The sequence below is a fragment of the Homo sapiens genome, chromosome 5, assembly GCF_000001405.40.
Source record: "Homo sapiens chromosome 5, GRCh38.p14 Primary Assembly".
Classification (NCBI taxonomy): Eukaryota; Metazoa; Chordata; class Mammalia; order Primates; family Hominidae; genus Homo; species Homo sapiens.
The window spans coordinates 52,077,024-52,092,542 of NC_000005.10; the positions used below are offsets into that span (position 1 = coordinate 52,077,024).

Genomic DNA, 15,519 nt, shown 5'->3' on the forward strand with positions numbered 1-15,519 from the left:
GTGCTGAATAGAGATAGCATTAGGGGGAGTACACAGCACTCTGTATGGAGGCAGAGGGTTAGATTTCTATAGGCCATAGAACTGGGGAATCAGGTAAACTATGTAGGTATCATGAATCCAATACCCTAAGTCGTCATATCAGGTATAAAGAGAAAAATGCATTCTGAGTATTTCTGACAAGTGGAAAAACCTGAGGAGTGGGAAAAGATGATTAAAGGAGTTAGAAGAAGAGGGATGTTGAGCATGCCAAACTCAAATGTGAAAAAGCAAATTGATAAAAAGCATGAAGCAGTTGGTTCAGGTAGATGTCAGTAGCATAATCTTGCATGTGTTCTCTTTGCTTGGTGAGAGGCTAAAAACATAAAGACACAGATGTTTTCTCTAAGTGGAACAAGGTGTATTGAGATCAATTTAATTAAAATATACAATACAATTCTTTGGTTCACCTGAAACACCTAAAATGACAGCTATTGTGCTTCCCCCAGTAGTTTTCAATTAGAGAGACTGATAAGGAACATTTAAGACCATTGGCTCTAGTGATAGTTGCCTACGACTTAGTTTCCTGTTTGCAAATGATGTTACAGGACAATATCTGAGTCTCTCAGATGAAAAGCTGTAACAGTAAATGACAACCCTCTCTCATGATCTAAGCATACCTTAGTAGTCCCTCCATAGATAGCTAAATGTGGAATAAATTATCTGTCTGCCTAACCAACTAAATGTTATCATTACATACAGAGAAAAATGAATTGAATCTCGTGTTTTTGAGTTACTCATTTGCTTATGCATTACAAGTTTTTATTCTACAAAAGAGCCATCTAAAATTGACTTTAAGAATTGTCATTAAAACTACAAGCAGCATATCAAATAATGTATATGTAATGTGCGTAGGTGATGTCTTCATCTCAATTTTATCGTATCATTCACAAAGCTTATCTCTTTTCTTTATTTCTAATATGTATTTGAACCTAATTTGGTAACATTTTTAAAAGATGGTAAAAAAATATCGTTCTCTGTAGCCAACATATCATAGGATCCTTTCATTATTTGACAGTTTTGACAGATATTATTGATTTGGCCAGCAACTGCAGCTAACTAGAAGGGGACAATGTGACAGTTTTATGTAACAAAAGGCACAGTGTCATGTCAACTGAACTAAATGTTGTACAAAGTGACAGCAGGACAAAAAATCCTTTCAGACTTAATTTTCTGCTTCATTTTTTTTCTACCATCAATACATAAGGCAGTGCAGTAGGTGACACAAATTAGCAGGATGGAGCAAAAGGTCTATCCCTGCCTCTGTGGCTATACTTGACTTCTTCCACCAGAGTGGCAATTATTTTTAAGGTGAATGAACAAGAAGAGCAGCTTATAGTAATCAACTTACCCCTATAGGAGAAAATATATCCCTTATCAAGATGCTTTATATATTTCACCTAGGTGGCTTTTGGGAAAAGATGAAAGGAAAAAGTCCCCATCTGCTAGGTCATGCCTACAAGACACATTCTGTCAAGTCTTAAAAGCAACAACAGCTTTGCCTGTGGGATACCTATAATTATTATGCGGAGCAGCCCAGTGCCTGCTGCAGTTCATTGTTCTGCTAACACAAGACGGAATGAGAACAGTGGCTCCAGGCTGTGAGTGGATAAAGTGCAACTTTTCGATTTTGCTCTTCTAAGGATTCTGCATTGTGTGGAGTCCATGAGTGACATCTTTGGCCTTCCTTGGGGCTCAGCAGATTGAATCAGTCATGCTGAGTTAAACAATGAGTAGAGGACATAACCTTAGCGGTGCCTGTCATTTTTCCCTCATAATTCAATCTACATTTAATCAATGAAAGTAATTTCTTGTTTGTTTAAGTCTCATATCCAATGGATCTTGAGAATTTTGAAGTGGCACGCCTTCACCTTGACCTTACCTACCTTTTGACTTCAACTACTACATCAAAATTGGGATCTGCAAAACAGGTGGGCAGAAAAGGTACCCAGCTGGTTATTTTTTCCGTGATATTTCTCTGATTTGTACTTCGAATGGAGCTTTGGGAATAAAGTTATCTAAATGATAAGCTGGAGAAAAAATTCTAGAGCAAAACCAGTAGTAACAGTAAGAACAGCACAATTTGAATTTCTAGAATACTGGCACAGAATACAAACTTGACATAAAAAGGTCCTTTTATCGAGTTATCATTGGCCATTTTGTGCTAATGGCTTAAAGGTTGGCTTTTAGATTATCACTGTTATTTGAAATAGCCAGTAGTAACTTTTGTAAGTTCAAGGTCTTTACTGATTGGTTCACCTAGTGTTAATCAAAATCCATCTTCCCTTCCAATCATAGTGATTAAATAATTCTGAGAGAGCTTGACATCAAGTTCAACTTTGTATAAGTTTGTACAAAAGTGCTAATCGAAACATTTTATTACCTGTCAGTTGTCAGACTGGAAAGCAATTGAAAGATAAAGTTTAAAGAAAATTAATTTACCTGAACATATACAATTAATCAAATGCCACAATAAAGAAGAGAGGTTACCATGATATTAAAAATAGAGAAAAAGATTTTAGTATTTTTGTGTTTTACTCAAATTATTGTTGCTAAAATGTCAAATAAAAAATAACTGTATAGAAAAATATAAGAAAGTCAACTAGCTGCAGTAATATGATAGAGTCAAGAATGACTGAAATAAATCAGGAAAGCTTTGGTACTTAGAACTTCTTAAAAGAAGGAACGGCTGTAAGAAAATGCAAAGCCTGTGATAAAAATGTGACATTGGTACAAGTCTATAAAAATTAAAGTAAACTAAGTTTAATTTTAAAATGGCTTTAAAAGTTTTTGAATGTTAGAAACTTGAATTTAAATTTTAGAAGCAATTTTTATATAGGATTTTCCATTCATTGCTGCTGCTTGAATCTAAGAGAAAAATAATCAAAAAGACTTTGGTAATAGATGAAGTTTCTAAAGTTGCATAAAAACTGACTAAAAATTTCATCAATTTATGTTACCTAAATTTATTTCTTAAATTTATTTAAGAAATAAGATACATTTCGTTTGCCATTTTTCATTCTTGAATTCTTTCATTTGGTATTCATTGACTTCTAGTATACTGAGCATTGTGATAAATGATGAGACAAGGTGCTTGATGTAAAGAGTTCATAGTCTACTTGAACTATGTTTCGTGTGCTTTATAATTTAATGGAATAAAATTTCACCATCATAAAAATGCTTCAAAAATGTTGGCTAAATTTTGCTTAATGTCAAAAGCTGAATAAACTTTTTCAGGGACCCAGGCTCACAGAGGGAGGTCTCTAAAAATATCTGCCATCTGAAACCCAACCTCTTTTGCTACATCCTAAGGCCTCCCCACCTTATAGAGACCCTATGACGAAACTGAAGTGTAGGCAGAAAGATGTACTTCAAATAAAATAATAAAAGTCCAGGGCCATGTATGAAGCCCAAAGGAAAAGTCAGGGGAATGATCTAGAAGTAGACTGAAGCAAGGTCTCTGGAGATAGGAATTCTAAAATTGGAATATAGGAACCTGTAAGTAGGTGAGAGTGTTTGGGAAGGGATCTGAGGGTGATTGCTGAAGCCATGCACTATGTGTTACATGCTTTCATGTGCCAACCTGGGGAAGGTAACTATCAAATTCCATCTAAACTGCTACATGGTTTCATACCCACTGCTTAAGCTGTTTTCTTTCTGCCTCCTCTTTTCTTCTCAACTAGATTCCTGCTTTATCCCAGAGAATCTCTGTTGTTGGCTGTGATGCTGTTTGCAGAATAATCCATCTCAAAGTTAAGGAAACAAATGTTTCATTACTTTTTTCAGAAGTGATCATAAATTAACCAGTTTTGGATTTCTGTTTTAGCTCAGCTCTCTGGTATCAGAATGGACCTTTTATAAGTCTGTGGACATTGTCAAGCTTTCTACTACTTTTCAGTGAATTAAATACCTGCAGACTTTTCTTTGCAAATGTGTGAGGCATGTGGGTAATGTATATGTGTGTAGGTGAGTCTCCTGTGGTCAGTGTTAAATGTGACTGCATCATAAATGAGTGAATCTTTAGAAATAGGGTTGAATAAACCTTCACACTAATATTTAACCTGAATTGATCAAATTAATCAAAATTGGGTTTATTTAGGTATATTATTTGGGAGTTCAAAATTATCTTTTAGAAATGACTCCTCTTTTATCCAGATGTATAAATTTAAAAAAAAACTAGGCAATTGATTCTGATTAAATCTTATTTTATGCTCTGCATTTAAAAAAATTATCTGTGAATATTTGGTTCTGATAGGTTGAGCTATTCTGGAGGCAGAGAGGCAGGATGCTATAGCATAGATTACCAATCAGTTCACTCAGACGGATCATGAGCAAGTTGGAGTCTTAGTTCTCCTCAGTAGGATGCTTTACAGACTTCTCTGAGTGAATCTAATTGAAAAGTGAACCCCTTCTGTGACCTTGGTTACCTGAACCAATAAGTGTTGCCATTTTCACCCATCCAGAGCACTTCAGTGTGGAAATGAGATGGCTTCATGAAATAGAGTGGGTCATTGACCCCAGGTGGATGGTTTCTCTCTATTTTCAGACAGATTGTTGGCTGGCCCTAGTTTCTTCTACCTTCCAACTAGCAATGCGGAGTTTTTGGACTACTCAGAGAGTATTCCAAATATAGAGAATCAAAATCTTAAGACTGTGTTCAGCAGTAAAGAAAAAAATACGTTAAAAATCTGTTAGACAATGAATATTAATTTTTACCATTAATAACAGATTGAGCCTTCATTCATTTCTCCTTGAAGGTAATAAAGTAGGGTAGGGATGAGAAATTAGAAGCATCCTCTTCCTATTTATTCATTCATTTGTGCATCACTATTGACTGCTTACTAGTTGCCAAGCACTTCACTTGCTAACAGGAGCACAATAGTAAATAAGACATAGCTCCTCCCTTGCAAAAGTAAAGCATGCTATTTTTTTCCAGAGGTTTTCATGGTCCCCTTAAAAATGCCATTGATTCTTTTGTCTTTAGAGTATGGAAGTTTGATGCTTGGACAATGTAAATATTTAAAACAAAATAGCTAAAAATAAGAAGGAAGTAGTTCTAAATATTAACACTGTGAGTTCGCATGAGTATTTGTATTAGTCCGTTTTCACACTGCTGATAAAGACATACCCAAGACTGGGAAGAAAGAGAGGTTTAATTGGACTTACAGTTCCACATGGCTACGGAGGTCTCAGAACCATGGTGGGAGGAAAAAGGCACTTCTTACATGGCGGTGACAAGAGAAAAATGAGGAGGAGGCAAAAGTGGAAACCCTTGATAAACCCATAAGATCTCATTAAACTTATTCACTATCATAAGAATAGCACGGGAAAGACTGGCCCCCATGATTCATTCAATTACCTCCCCTTGGGTCACTCCAACAACACGTGAGAATTCTGGAAGACACAATTCAAGTTGAGATTTGGGTGGGGACACAGCCAAACCATATCATTTCTGTCCCTGGACCCTCCAAATCTCAAATCTCATGTCCTCACATTTCAAAGCCAATCATGCCTTCCCTACAGTCCCCCAAAGTCTTAACTCATTTCAGCATTAACCCAAAAGTCCACAGTCCGAAGTTTCATCTTAAAAAAGGCAAGCCCCTCCCATCTATGAGCCTGTAAAATCAAAAGCAAGCTTGTTACTTCCTAGATACAATGGGGGTACAGGTATTCGGTAAATACAGCCATTCTAAATGGGAGAAATTGGCCAAAACAAAGGGGTTACAGGGCCCATGCAAACCAGAAATCCAGTGGGAGAGTCAAACTTTAAAGCTCCAAAATGATCTCTTTTGACGCCAGGTCTCACATCCAGGTCACGCTGATGCAAGAGGTGGGTTCCCATGGTCTTGGGCAGCTCCACCCCTGTGGCTTTACAGGGTACAGCCTCCCTCCCAGCTGCTTTCACGGGTTGGTGTTGAGTGTCTGCGGCTTTTCCAGGCACACAGTGCAAGCTGTTGGTGGATCTCAGATGGTGGATCTCAGGATTCTGGAGGATGGTGGCCCTCTTCTCACAGCTCTACTAGGCAGTGCCCCAGTAGGGGCTCTGTGTGGGGGCTCCGACCCCACATTTCTCTTCAGTACTGCCCTAGCAGAGGTTCCCCATGAGGGCCCTGCCCCAGCCACGGCATATCCAGGCGTTTCCATACTTCCTCTGAAACCTAAGTGGAGGTTCCCAAACCTCAATTCTCTTGACTTGTGTGCACCTGCAGGCTCAACACCTTGTGGAAGTTGCCAAGGTTTGGGGCTTCCACCCTCTGAAGGCACTGAGCTGTACAATGGCCCCTTTCAGCCATGGCTGGAGTGGCTGGGACACAGGGCATGAAGTCCCCAGGCTGCACACAGCACAGGGACCCTGGGCTCGCCTCATGAAACCATTTTTACCTCCTGGGCTTGTAATGGGAGGGGCTGCCATGAAGGTCTCTGGCATGGCCTGGAGACATTTTCCCCATGGTCTTGGGGATTAACATTAGGCTCCTTGCTACTTAGGCACATTTCTACAGCCAGCTTGAATTTCTCTCCAGAAAATGGATTTTTCTTTTCCATTGCATAGTCAGGCTGCAAATTTTCTAAACTTTTATGCCATGTTTCCCTTATAAAACTGAAGGCCTCTAATAGAACCCAAGTCACCTTTTGAATGCTCTGCTGCTTAGAAATTTCTTCTGCCAGATACCCTAAATAATTTTTCTCAAGTTCAAAGTTCCACAAATCTCTAGGGCAGGGACAAAATGACCCCAGTCTCTTTGCTAAAACATAACAAGAATCACCTTTACTCCAGTTCCTAACAAGTTCCTCATTTCCATCTGAGACTACCTCAGCCTGGACCTTATTGTCCATATCGCTATCAGCATTTTGGGCAAAGCCATTCAACAAGTCTCTAGGAAGTTCCAAACTTCCCCAGATTTTCCTGTCTTCTTCTGAGCCCTTCAAACTGTTTCAATCTCTGCCTATTACCCAGTTCCAAAGTCACATTCACATTTTCAGGTATCTTTTCATCAATGTCCCACTCTACTGATACCAATTTACTGTATTAGTCCATTTTCATGCTGCTGATAAAGACATACCCAAGACTGGGAAGAAAAAGAAGTTTAATTGGACTTACAGTTCCACATGTCTGGGAGGCCTCAGAATCATGGTGGGAGGCAAAAGGCACTTCTTACATGGTGGTGGCAAGAGAAAAATGAGGAGGAAGCAAAAGCAGAAACCCCTGATACCCATCAGATCTCATGAGACCTATTAACTATCATGAGAATAACAAGGGAAAGACTGGACCCCATGATTCAATTACCTCCCCATAGGTCCCTCCCACAACAGGTGGGAATTCTGGGAGACACAATTCCAGTTGAGATTTGGGTGGGAACACAGCCAAACCATATCAGCTTTATACCAGACTTCTATATCTATAGTTATATATCTATCCTCTCAAGATACATTTAGAATTATAAACATATGTAGAGATAGGGATGAGAATATTTTTTACAGAAAGAATATGTAAAGTGTGTGTAATTTAAATATAAATTTCTACTTGATATATATGTAATATGTATCTAGCACTTACATAAAAGTACACACACACACACACACACGCACACATTCATCACCAAACGTTTTTGCATGGTTGTTTCATTGTATTTTTAGAATGTGTCCAGAAATAAAATGTCTGCACCACAATGTATCTATACTTTTTATTGTTGTATTACTCCTCAGTGTATAGTACTATCAGCATATTATATCATTATATACTTCATATTCTTACAAACAATTGCTAAGGTTAAGCAATTAAAAGCTTGCCAGTATTACATGAAAATAATGTAAATGCTTCAACTTGTAGATTTCAAAATTGAGCATATTTCACAACATTATTGATACTTTATGTTTCTTCTTTGGCAATCTTTTCTTATATTATGTCATTTTTGTACTATGGAAGTGGACATTTATTGATGTCATTTACTAAAATCTATATTAAGCCAAGCCATATTCTGGGTACTGGAAATAAATCATTAAATAAAACAGACAAAAATAATTGCCTTCTTAGGACTCACATTTTATCAAAAGAAGAGAGACAATAAAATACAAATATATCAATTATTAAGACATGCATGTTATTAAAACATAAAACCAGGATGGGGAATTAATATTTGTAAATATTCAAGGAATATTAATCATTTGCTAGCCATGTAAATTAAATTTTTATCCCCATCTTAAAATGTGTTTTAAGTTGCTTTCTTATGCAAGCTTTTTAAAGTATAGACCTGATAATAGTAAAATGTTTTAGCAATTTGCTATCTGATTTCTTATTGTATCACATAATTTATAAAAAATGTAAAAATATTTCCATTTATTTTTTCTGGTACTTTTGTAATTTTATTTTCATGTTTATATTCTTTCATTCAAATCTTACAAATTGGGTTTAAGAGAGATAAATTCAACCATATATATAGGTTGAGGCAACTGGCCCTTCATGTAGATAGGTATGTGTGTATATGTATCTGTGTATACATACACACACACACACACACACACACACACACCCCTACCTACGTGAAGGGTCAGTTGTCCCAACAATTTATTCAAAAAATATTCATCCCACTGATTATTTGTGTCAACTTTATCTCATATTAAACACTTGCATATGCCTACATTCATTTTTGGATAAACTTTTCTGTTTCATTGAACTTTCATTCCATTCCTATGACAATGCAAGCATAAATGTTACCGTTTTAAAAGTATTTTTTAAAAGTATTGCATACCTAGTAAGAAAAACATAAGCCACTTTATTTTTCCTAAAAATTCCTAATTATTCTTACTATATAAAATAAATCTATAATATTTTTACATGTAATATATTGTAAATACATATGAATGAGTCAATCAAATCTCTCACTAATATTTTGATAGGAATTAAATTATATTTTCATGCTCACTTAGTGGTGCTGATATAGTTTGCTATGTTAAGGTATAGAATAGTCTAAAACCTTCATAGATTCCTGGGTTTATTACAGTTGTTATCAAGCCTGGGCTTGGGTTGCATTGAGCCCTTTAGATATTCATTCACCAAAAATGTAATTACTGGCTTCCTTTATTATATTAGTTTCTATACTGAATGAAATGATAAAATATAGTAACCAAAATTAATGTAATAGGAACAAACCAAACAAAAACATATAGTATCAAAGTAAACCAAATGTTTGTTCTTTGAGTAATAAGGTAGACAGACATTGGTTAGACTAAAAACAAAAAGTGAGTAATGGCACAATAGTAAGTCACAATAATAAGAAACAGAGATGTAAATACATATATATTATAGAGAATAAAATACAAATACATTATTGTGAATTCCATACACTAATACATTTGCAAAGTAAAAGGAATTGAAGTTTTTAAAGGAAAACCCATCAATTATTTCTCAAAGTGTAATAACAAACTTGAATTAAAAATAAACATTAAGAATGTTGAATATTGGCCCCCACTCTCTTCTGGCTTGTAGGGTTTCTGCCGAGAGATCCGCTGTTAGTCTGCTGGGCTTCCCTTTGAGGGTAACCCGACCTTTCTCTCTGATTGCCCTTAACATTTTTTCCTTCATTTCAACTTTGGTGAATCTGACAATTATGTGTCTTGGAGTTGCTGTTCTCGAGGAGTATCTTTGTGGCGTTCTCTGTATTTCCTGAATCTGAATGTTGGCCTGCCTTGCTAGATTGGGGAAATTCTCCTGGATGATATACTGCAGAGTGTTTTCCAACTTGGTTCCATTCTCCCCATCACTTTCAGGTACACCAATCAGACGTAGATTTGGTCTTTTCACATAGTCCCATATTTCTTGGAGGCTTTGCTCGTTTCTTTGTATTCTTTTTTCTCTAAACTTTCCTTCTCACTTCATTTCATTCATTTCATCTTCCATTGCTGATACCCTTTCTTCCAGTTGACCGCATCGGCTCCTGAGGCTTCTGCATTCTTCACGTAGTTCTCGAGCCTTGGTTTTCAGCTCCATCAGCTCGTTTAAGCACTTCTCTGTATTGGTTATTCTAGTTATACATACTTCTAAATTTTTTTCAAAGTTTTCAACTTCTTTGCCTTTGGTTTGAATGTCCTCCCGTAGCTCAGAGTAATTTGATCATCTGAAGCCTTCTTCTCTCAGCTCGTCAAAGTCATTCTCCGTCCAGCTTTGTTCCGTTGCTGGTGAGGAGCTGTGTTCCTTTGGAGGAGGAGAGGTGCTCTGATTTTTAGAGTTTCCAGTTCTTCTCTTCTGTTTTTTCCCCATCTTTGTGGTTTTATCTACTTTTGGTCTTTGATGATGGTGATGTACAGATGGGTTTTTGGTTTGGATGTCCTTTCTGTTTGTTAGTTTTCCTTCTAACAGACAGGACCCTCAGCTGCAGGTCTGTTGGAGTACCCTGCAGTGTGAGGTGTTCGTGTGCCCCTGCTGGAGGGTGCCTCCCAGTTAGGCTGCTCGGGGGTCAGGGGTCAGGGACCCACTTGAGGAGGCAGTCTGCCCATTCTCAGATCTCCAGCTGTGTACTGGGAGAACCACTGCTCTCTACAAAGCTGTCAGACAGGAACATTTAAGTCTGCAGAGGTTACTGCTGTCTTTTTGTTTGTCTGTGCCCTGCCCCCAGAGGTGGAGCCTACAGAGGCAGGCAGGCCTCCTTGAGCTGTGGTGGGCTCCACCCAGTTCCAACTTCCCGGCTGCTTTGTTTACCTAAGCAAGCCTGGGCAATGGTGGGCACCCCTCCCCCAGCCTCGCTGCCGCCTTGCAGTTTGATCTCAGACTGCTGTGCTAGCAATCAGTGAGACTCCGTGGGGTAGGACCCTCCAAGCCAGGTGCGGGATATAATCTCGTGATGCGCCGTTTTTTAAGCCCGTCAGAAAAGCGCAGTATTCGGGTGGGAGTGACCCGATTTTCCAGGTGCCATCCATCACCTCTTTCTTTGATTAGGAAAAGGAACTCCCTGACCCCTTGCACTTCCCGAGTGAGGCAATGCCTCGCCCTGCTTTGGCTCGCGCATGGTGCGCACACCCACTGACCTGCGCCCACTGTCTGGCACTCCCTAGTGAGATGAAACTGGTACCTCAGATGGAAATGCAGAAATCACCCGTCTTCTGCATCACTCAGGCTGGGAGCTGTAGACAAGAGCTGTTCCTATTTGGCCATCTCGGCTCCTCCCCCAAGAAGCCAGTCTTAAAGAAAAGAATTTTCAACCCAGAATTTCATATCCAGCCAAACTAAGTTTCATAAGTGAAGGAGAAATAAAATACTTTACAGACAAGCAAATGCTGAGAGATTTTGTCACCACCAGGCCTGCCTTAAAAGTGCTCCTGAAGGAAGCGCTAAACATGGAAAGGAACAACCAGTACAGGCCGCTGCGAAATCATGCCAAAATGTAAAGACCATCAAGAATAGGAAGAAACTGCATCAACTAACGAGCAAAATAACCAGCTAACATCATAATGACAGGATCAAATTCACACATAACACTATTAACTTTAAATATAAATGGACTAAATGCTCCAATTAAAAGACACAGACTGGCAAATTGGATAAAGAGTCAAGACCCATCAGTGTGCTGTATTCAGGAAACCCATCTCACATGCAGAGACACACATAGGCTCAAAATAAAAGGATGGAGGAAGATCTACCAAGCAAATGGAAAACAAAAAAAGGCAAGGGTTGCAATCCTAGCCTCTGATAAAACAGACTTTAAACCAACAAAGATCAAAAGAGACAAAGAAGGCCATGACATAATGGTAAAGGGATGAATTCAACAACAAGAGCTAACTATCCTAAATATATATGCACCCAATGCAGGAGCACCCAGATTCATAAAGCAAGTCCTTAGAGACCTACAAAGAGACTTAGACTCCCACACAATAATAATGGGAGACTTTAACACCCCACTGTCAACATTAGACAGATCAATAAGACAGAAAGTTAACAAGGATATCCAGGAATTGAACTCAGCTCTGCACCAAGAGGATCTAATAGACATCTACAGAACTCTCCACCCCAAATCAACAGAATATACATTCTTCTCAGCACCACACCTCACTTATTCCAAAACTGACCACATAGTTGGAAGTAAAGCACTCCTCAGCAAATTTAAAAGAACAGAAATTATAACAAGCTGTCTCTCAGACCACAGTGCAATCAAACAAGAACTCAGGATTAAGAAACTCACTCAAAACTGCTCAACTACATGGAAACTGAACAACCTGCTCCTGAATGACTACTGGGTAAATAATGAAATGAAGGCAGAAATAAAGATGTTCTTTGAAACCAACAAGAACAAAGACACAACATACCAGAATCTCTGGGACACATTCAAAGCAGTGTGTAGAGGGAAATTTATAGCACTAAATGCCCACAAGAGAAAGCAGGAAAGATCCAAAATTGACACCCTAACATCACAATAAAAGAACAAGAAAAGCAAGAGCAAACACATTCAAAAGCTAGCAGAAGGCAAGAAATAACTAAAATTAGAGCAGAACTGAAGGAAATAGAGACACAAAAAACCCTTCAAAAAAATTAATGAATCCAGGAGCTGGTTTATTGAAAGGATCAACAAAATTGATAGACCACTAGCAAGACTAATAAAGAAAAAAAGAGAGAAGAATCAAATAGACGCAATAAAAAATGATAAAGGGGATATCACCACCAATCCCACAGAAATACAAACTACCATCAGAGAATACTACAAACACCTCTATGCAAATAAACTAGAAAATCTAGAAGAAATGGATAAATTCCTTGACACATACACTCTCCCAAGACTAAACCAGGAAGAAGTTGAATCTCTGAATAGACCAATAACAGGAGCTGAAATTGTGGCAATAATCAATAGCTTACCAACCAAAAACAGTCCAGGACCAGATGGATTCACAGCCGAATTCTACCAGAGGTACAAGGAGGAACTGGTACAATTCCTTCTGAAACTATTGCAATCAATAGAAAAAGAGGGAATCCTCCCTAACTCATTTTATGAGGCCAGCATCATTCTGATACCAAAGCCTGGCAGAGACACAACCAAAAAAGAGAATTTTAGACCAATATCCTTGATGAACATTGATGCAAAAATCCTCAATAAAATACTGGCAAACCGAATCCAGCAACACATCAAAAAGCTTATCCACCATGATCAACTGGGCTTCATCCCTGGGATGCAAGGCTGGTTCAATATATGCAAATCAATAAATGTAATCCAGCATATAAACAGAGCCAAAGGCAAAAACCACATGATTATCTCCATAGATGCAGAAAAGGCCTTTGACAAAATTAAACAATCCTTCATGCTAAAAACGCTCAATAAATTAGGTATTGATGGGACATATTTCAAAATAATAAGAGCTATCTATGACAAACCCACAGCCAATATCATACTGAATGGGCAAAAACTGGAAGCATTCCCTTTGAAAACTGGCACAAGACAGGGATGCCCTCTCTCACCACTCCTATTCAACATAGTGTTGGAAGTTCTGGCCAGGGCAATCAGGCAGGAGAAGGAAATAAAGGGTATTCAATTAGGAAAAGAGGAAGTCAAATTGTCCCTGTTTGCAGATGACATGATTGTATATCTAGAAAACCCCATTGTCTCAGCCCAAAATCTCCTTAAGCTGATAAGCAACTTCAGCAAAGTCTCAGGATACAAAATCAATGTGCAAAAATCACAAGCATTCCTATACACCAACAACAGACAAACAGAGAGCCAAATCATGAGTGAACTCCCATTCACAATTGCTTCAAAGAGAATAAAATACCTAGGAATCCAACTTACAAGGGATGTGAAGGACCTCTTCAAGGAGAACTACAAACCACTGCTCAAGGAAATAAAAGAGAATACAAACAAATGGAAGAACATTCCATGCTCATGGGTAGGAAGAATCAATATCAAGAAAATGGCCATACTGCCCAAGGTAACTTACAGATTCAATGCCATCCCCATCAAGCTATCAATGCCTTTCTTCACAGAATTGGAAAAAAACTACTTTAAAGTTCATATGGAACCAAAAAAGAGCCCACATCACCAAGTCAATCCTAAGCCAAAAGAACAAAGCTGGAGGCATCACACTACCTGACTTCAAACTATACTACAAGGCTACTGTCACCAAAACAGCATGGTACTGGTACTAAAACAGCATGGTACTGGTACCAAAACAGAGATATAGATCAATGGAACAGAGCAGAGCCCTCAGAAATAATGCCACATATCTACAGCTATCTGATCTTTGACAAACCTGAGAAAAACAAGCAATGGGGAAAGGATTCCCTATTTAATAAATGGTGCTGGGAAAACTGGCTAGCCCTAGGTAGAAAGCTGAAACTGGATCCCTTCCTTACACCTTATACAAAAATCAATTCAAGATGGATTAAAGACTTAAACGTTGGACCTAAAACCATAAAAACCCTAGAAGAAAACCTAGGCATTACCATTCAGGACATAGGCATGGGCAAGGACTTCATGTCTAAAACACCAAAAGCAATGGCAACAAAAGCCAAAATTAGCAAATGGGATCTAATTAAACTAAAGAGCTTCTGCACAGCAAAAGAGACTACCATCAGAGTGAACAGGCAACCTACAGAATGGGAGAAAAATTTTGCAACCTACTCATCTGACAAAGGGCTAATATCCAGAATCTACAATGAACTCAAACAAATTTACAAGAAAAAAACAAACAACCCCATCTAAAAGTGGGCAAAGGACATGAACAGACACTTCTCAAAAGAAGACATTTATGCAGCCAAAAAACACATGAAAAAATGCTCACCATCGCTGGCCATCAGAGAAATGCAAATCAAAACCACAATGAGATACCATCTCCCACCAGTTAGAATGGCGATCATTAAAAAGTCAGGAAACAACAGGTGCTGGAGAGGATGTGGAGAAATAGGAACACTTTTACACTGCTGGTGGGACTGTAAACTAGTTCAACCATTGTGGAAGTCAGTGTGGCGATTCCTCAGGGATCTAGAACTAGAAATACCATTTGACCCAGCCATCCCATTACTGGGTATATACCCAAATGAGTATAAATCATGCTGGTATAAAGACACATGCACACGTATGTTTATTGCGGCATTATTCGCAATAGCAAAGACTTGGAACCAACCCAAATGTCCAACAATGATAGACTGGATTAAGAAAATGTGGCACATATACACCATGGAATACTATGCAGCCATAAGAAAGGATGAGTTCATGTCCTTTGTAGGGACATGGATGAAATTGGAAACCATCATTCTCAGTAAACTATCGCAAGAACAAAAAACCAAACACCGCATATTCTCACTCATAGGTGGGAATTGAACAATGAGATCACATGGACACAGAAAGGGGAACATCACACTCTGGGGACTGCTGTGGGGTGGGGGGAGGGGGGAGGGATAGCATTGGGAGATATACCTAATGCTAGATGACGAGTTAGTGGATGCAGCACACCAGCATGGGACATGTATACGTATGTAACTAACCTGCACAATGTGCACATGTGCCCTAA

The 15,519-nt window shown here is 38.5% G+C and overlaps 1 annotated feature.

Annotated features, from left to right (window-relative positions):
- Positions 1,325–1,897: an enhancer, noted in NCBI's record as "OCT4-NANOG hESC enhancer chr5:51374182-51374754 (GRCh37/hg19 assembly coordinates)". NCBI's record gives its function as "activates a minimal SCP1, AML or CMV promoter by ChIP-STARR-seq in primed H9 embryonic stem cells {active_cell/tissue: H9 hESC(primed)}" and the evidence as "EXISTENCE:reporter gene assay evidence [ECO:0000049][PMID:30033119]".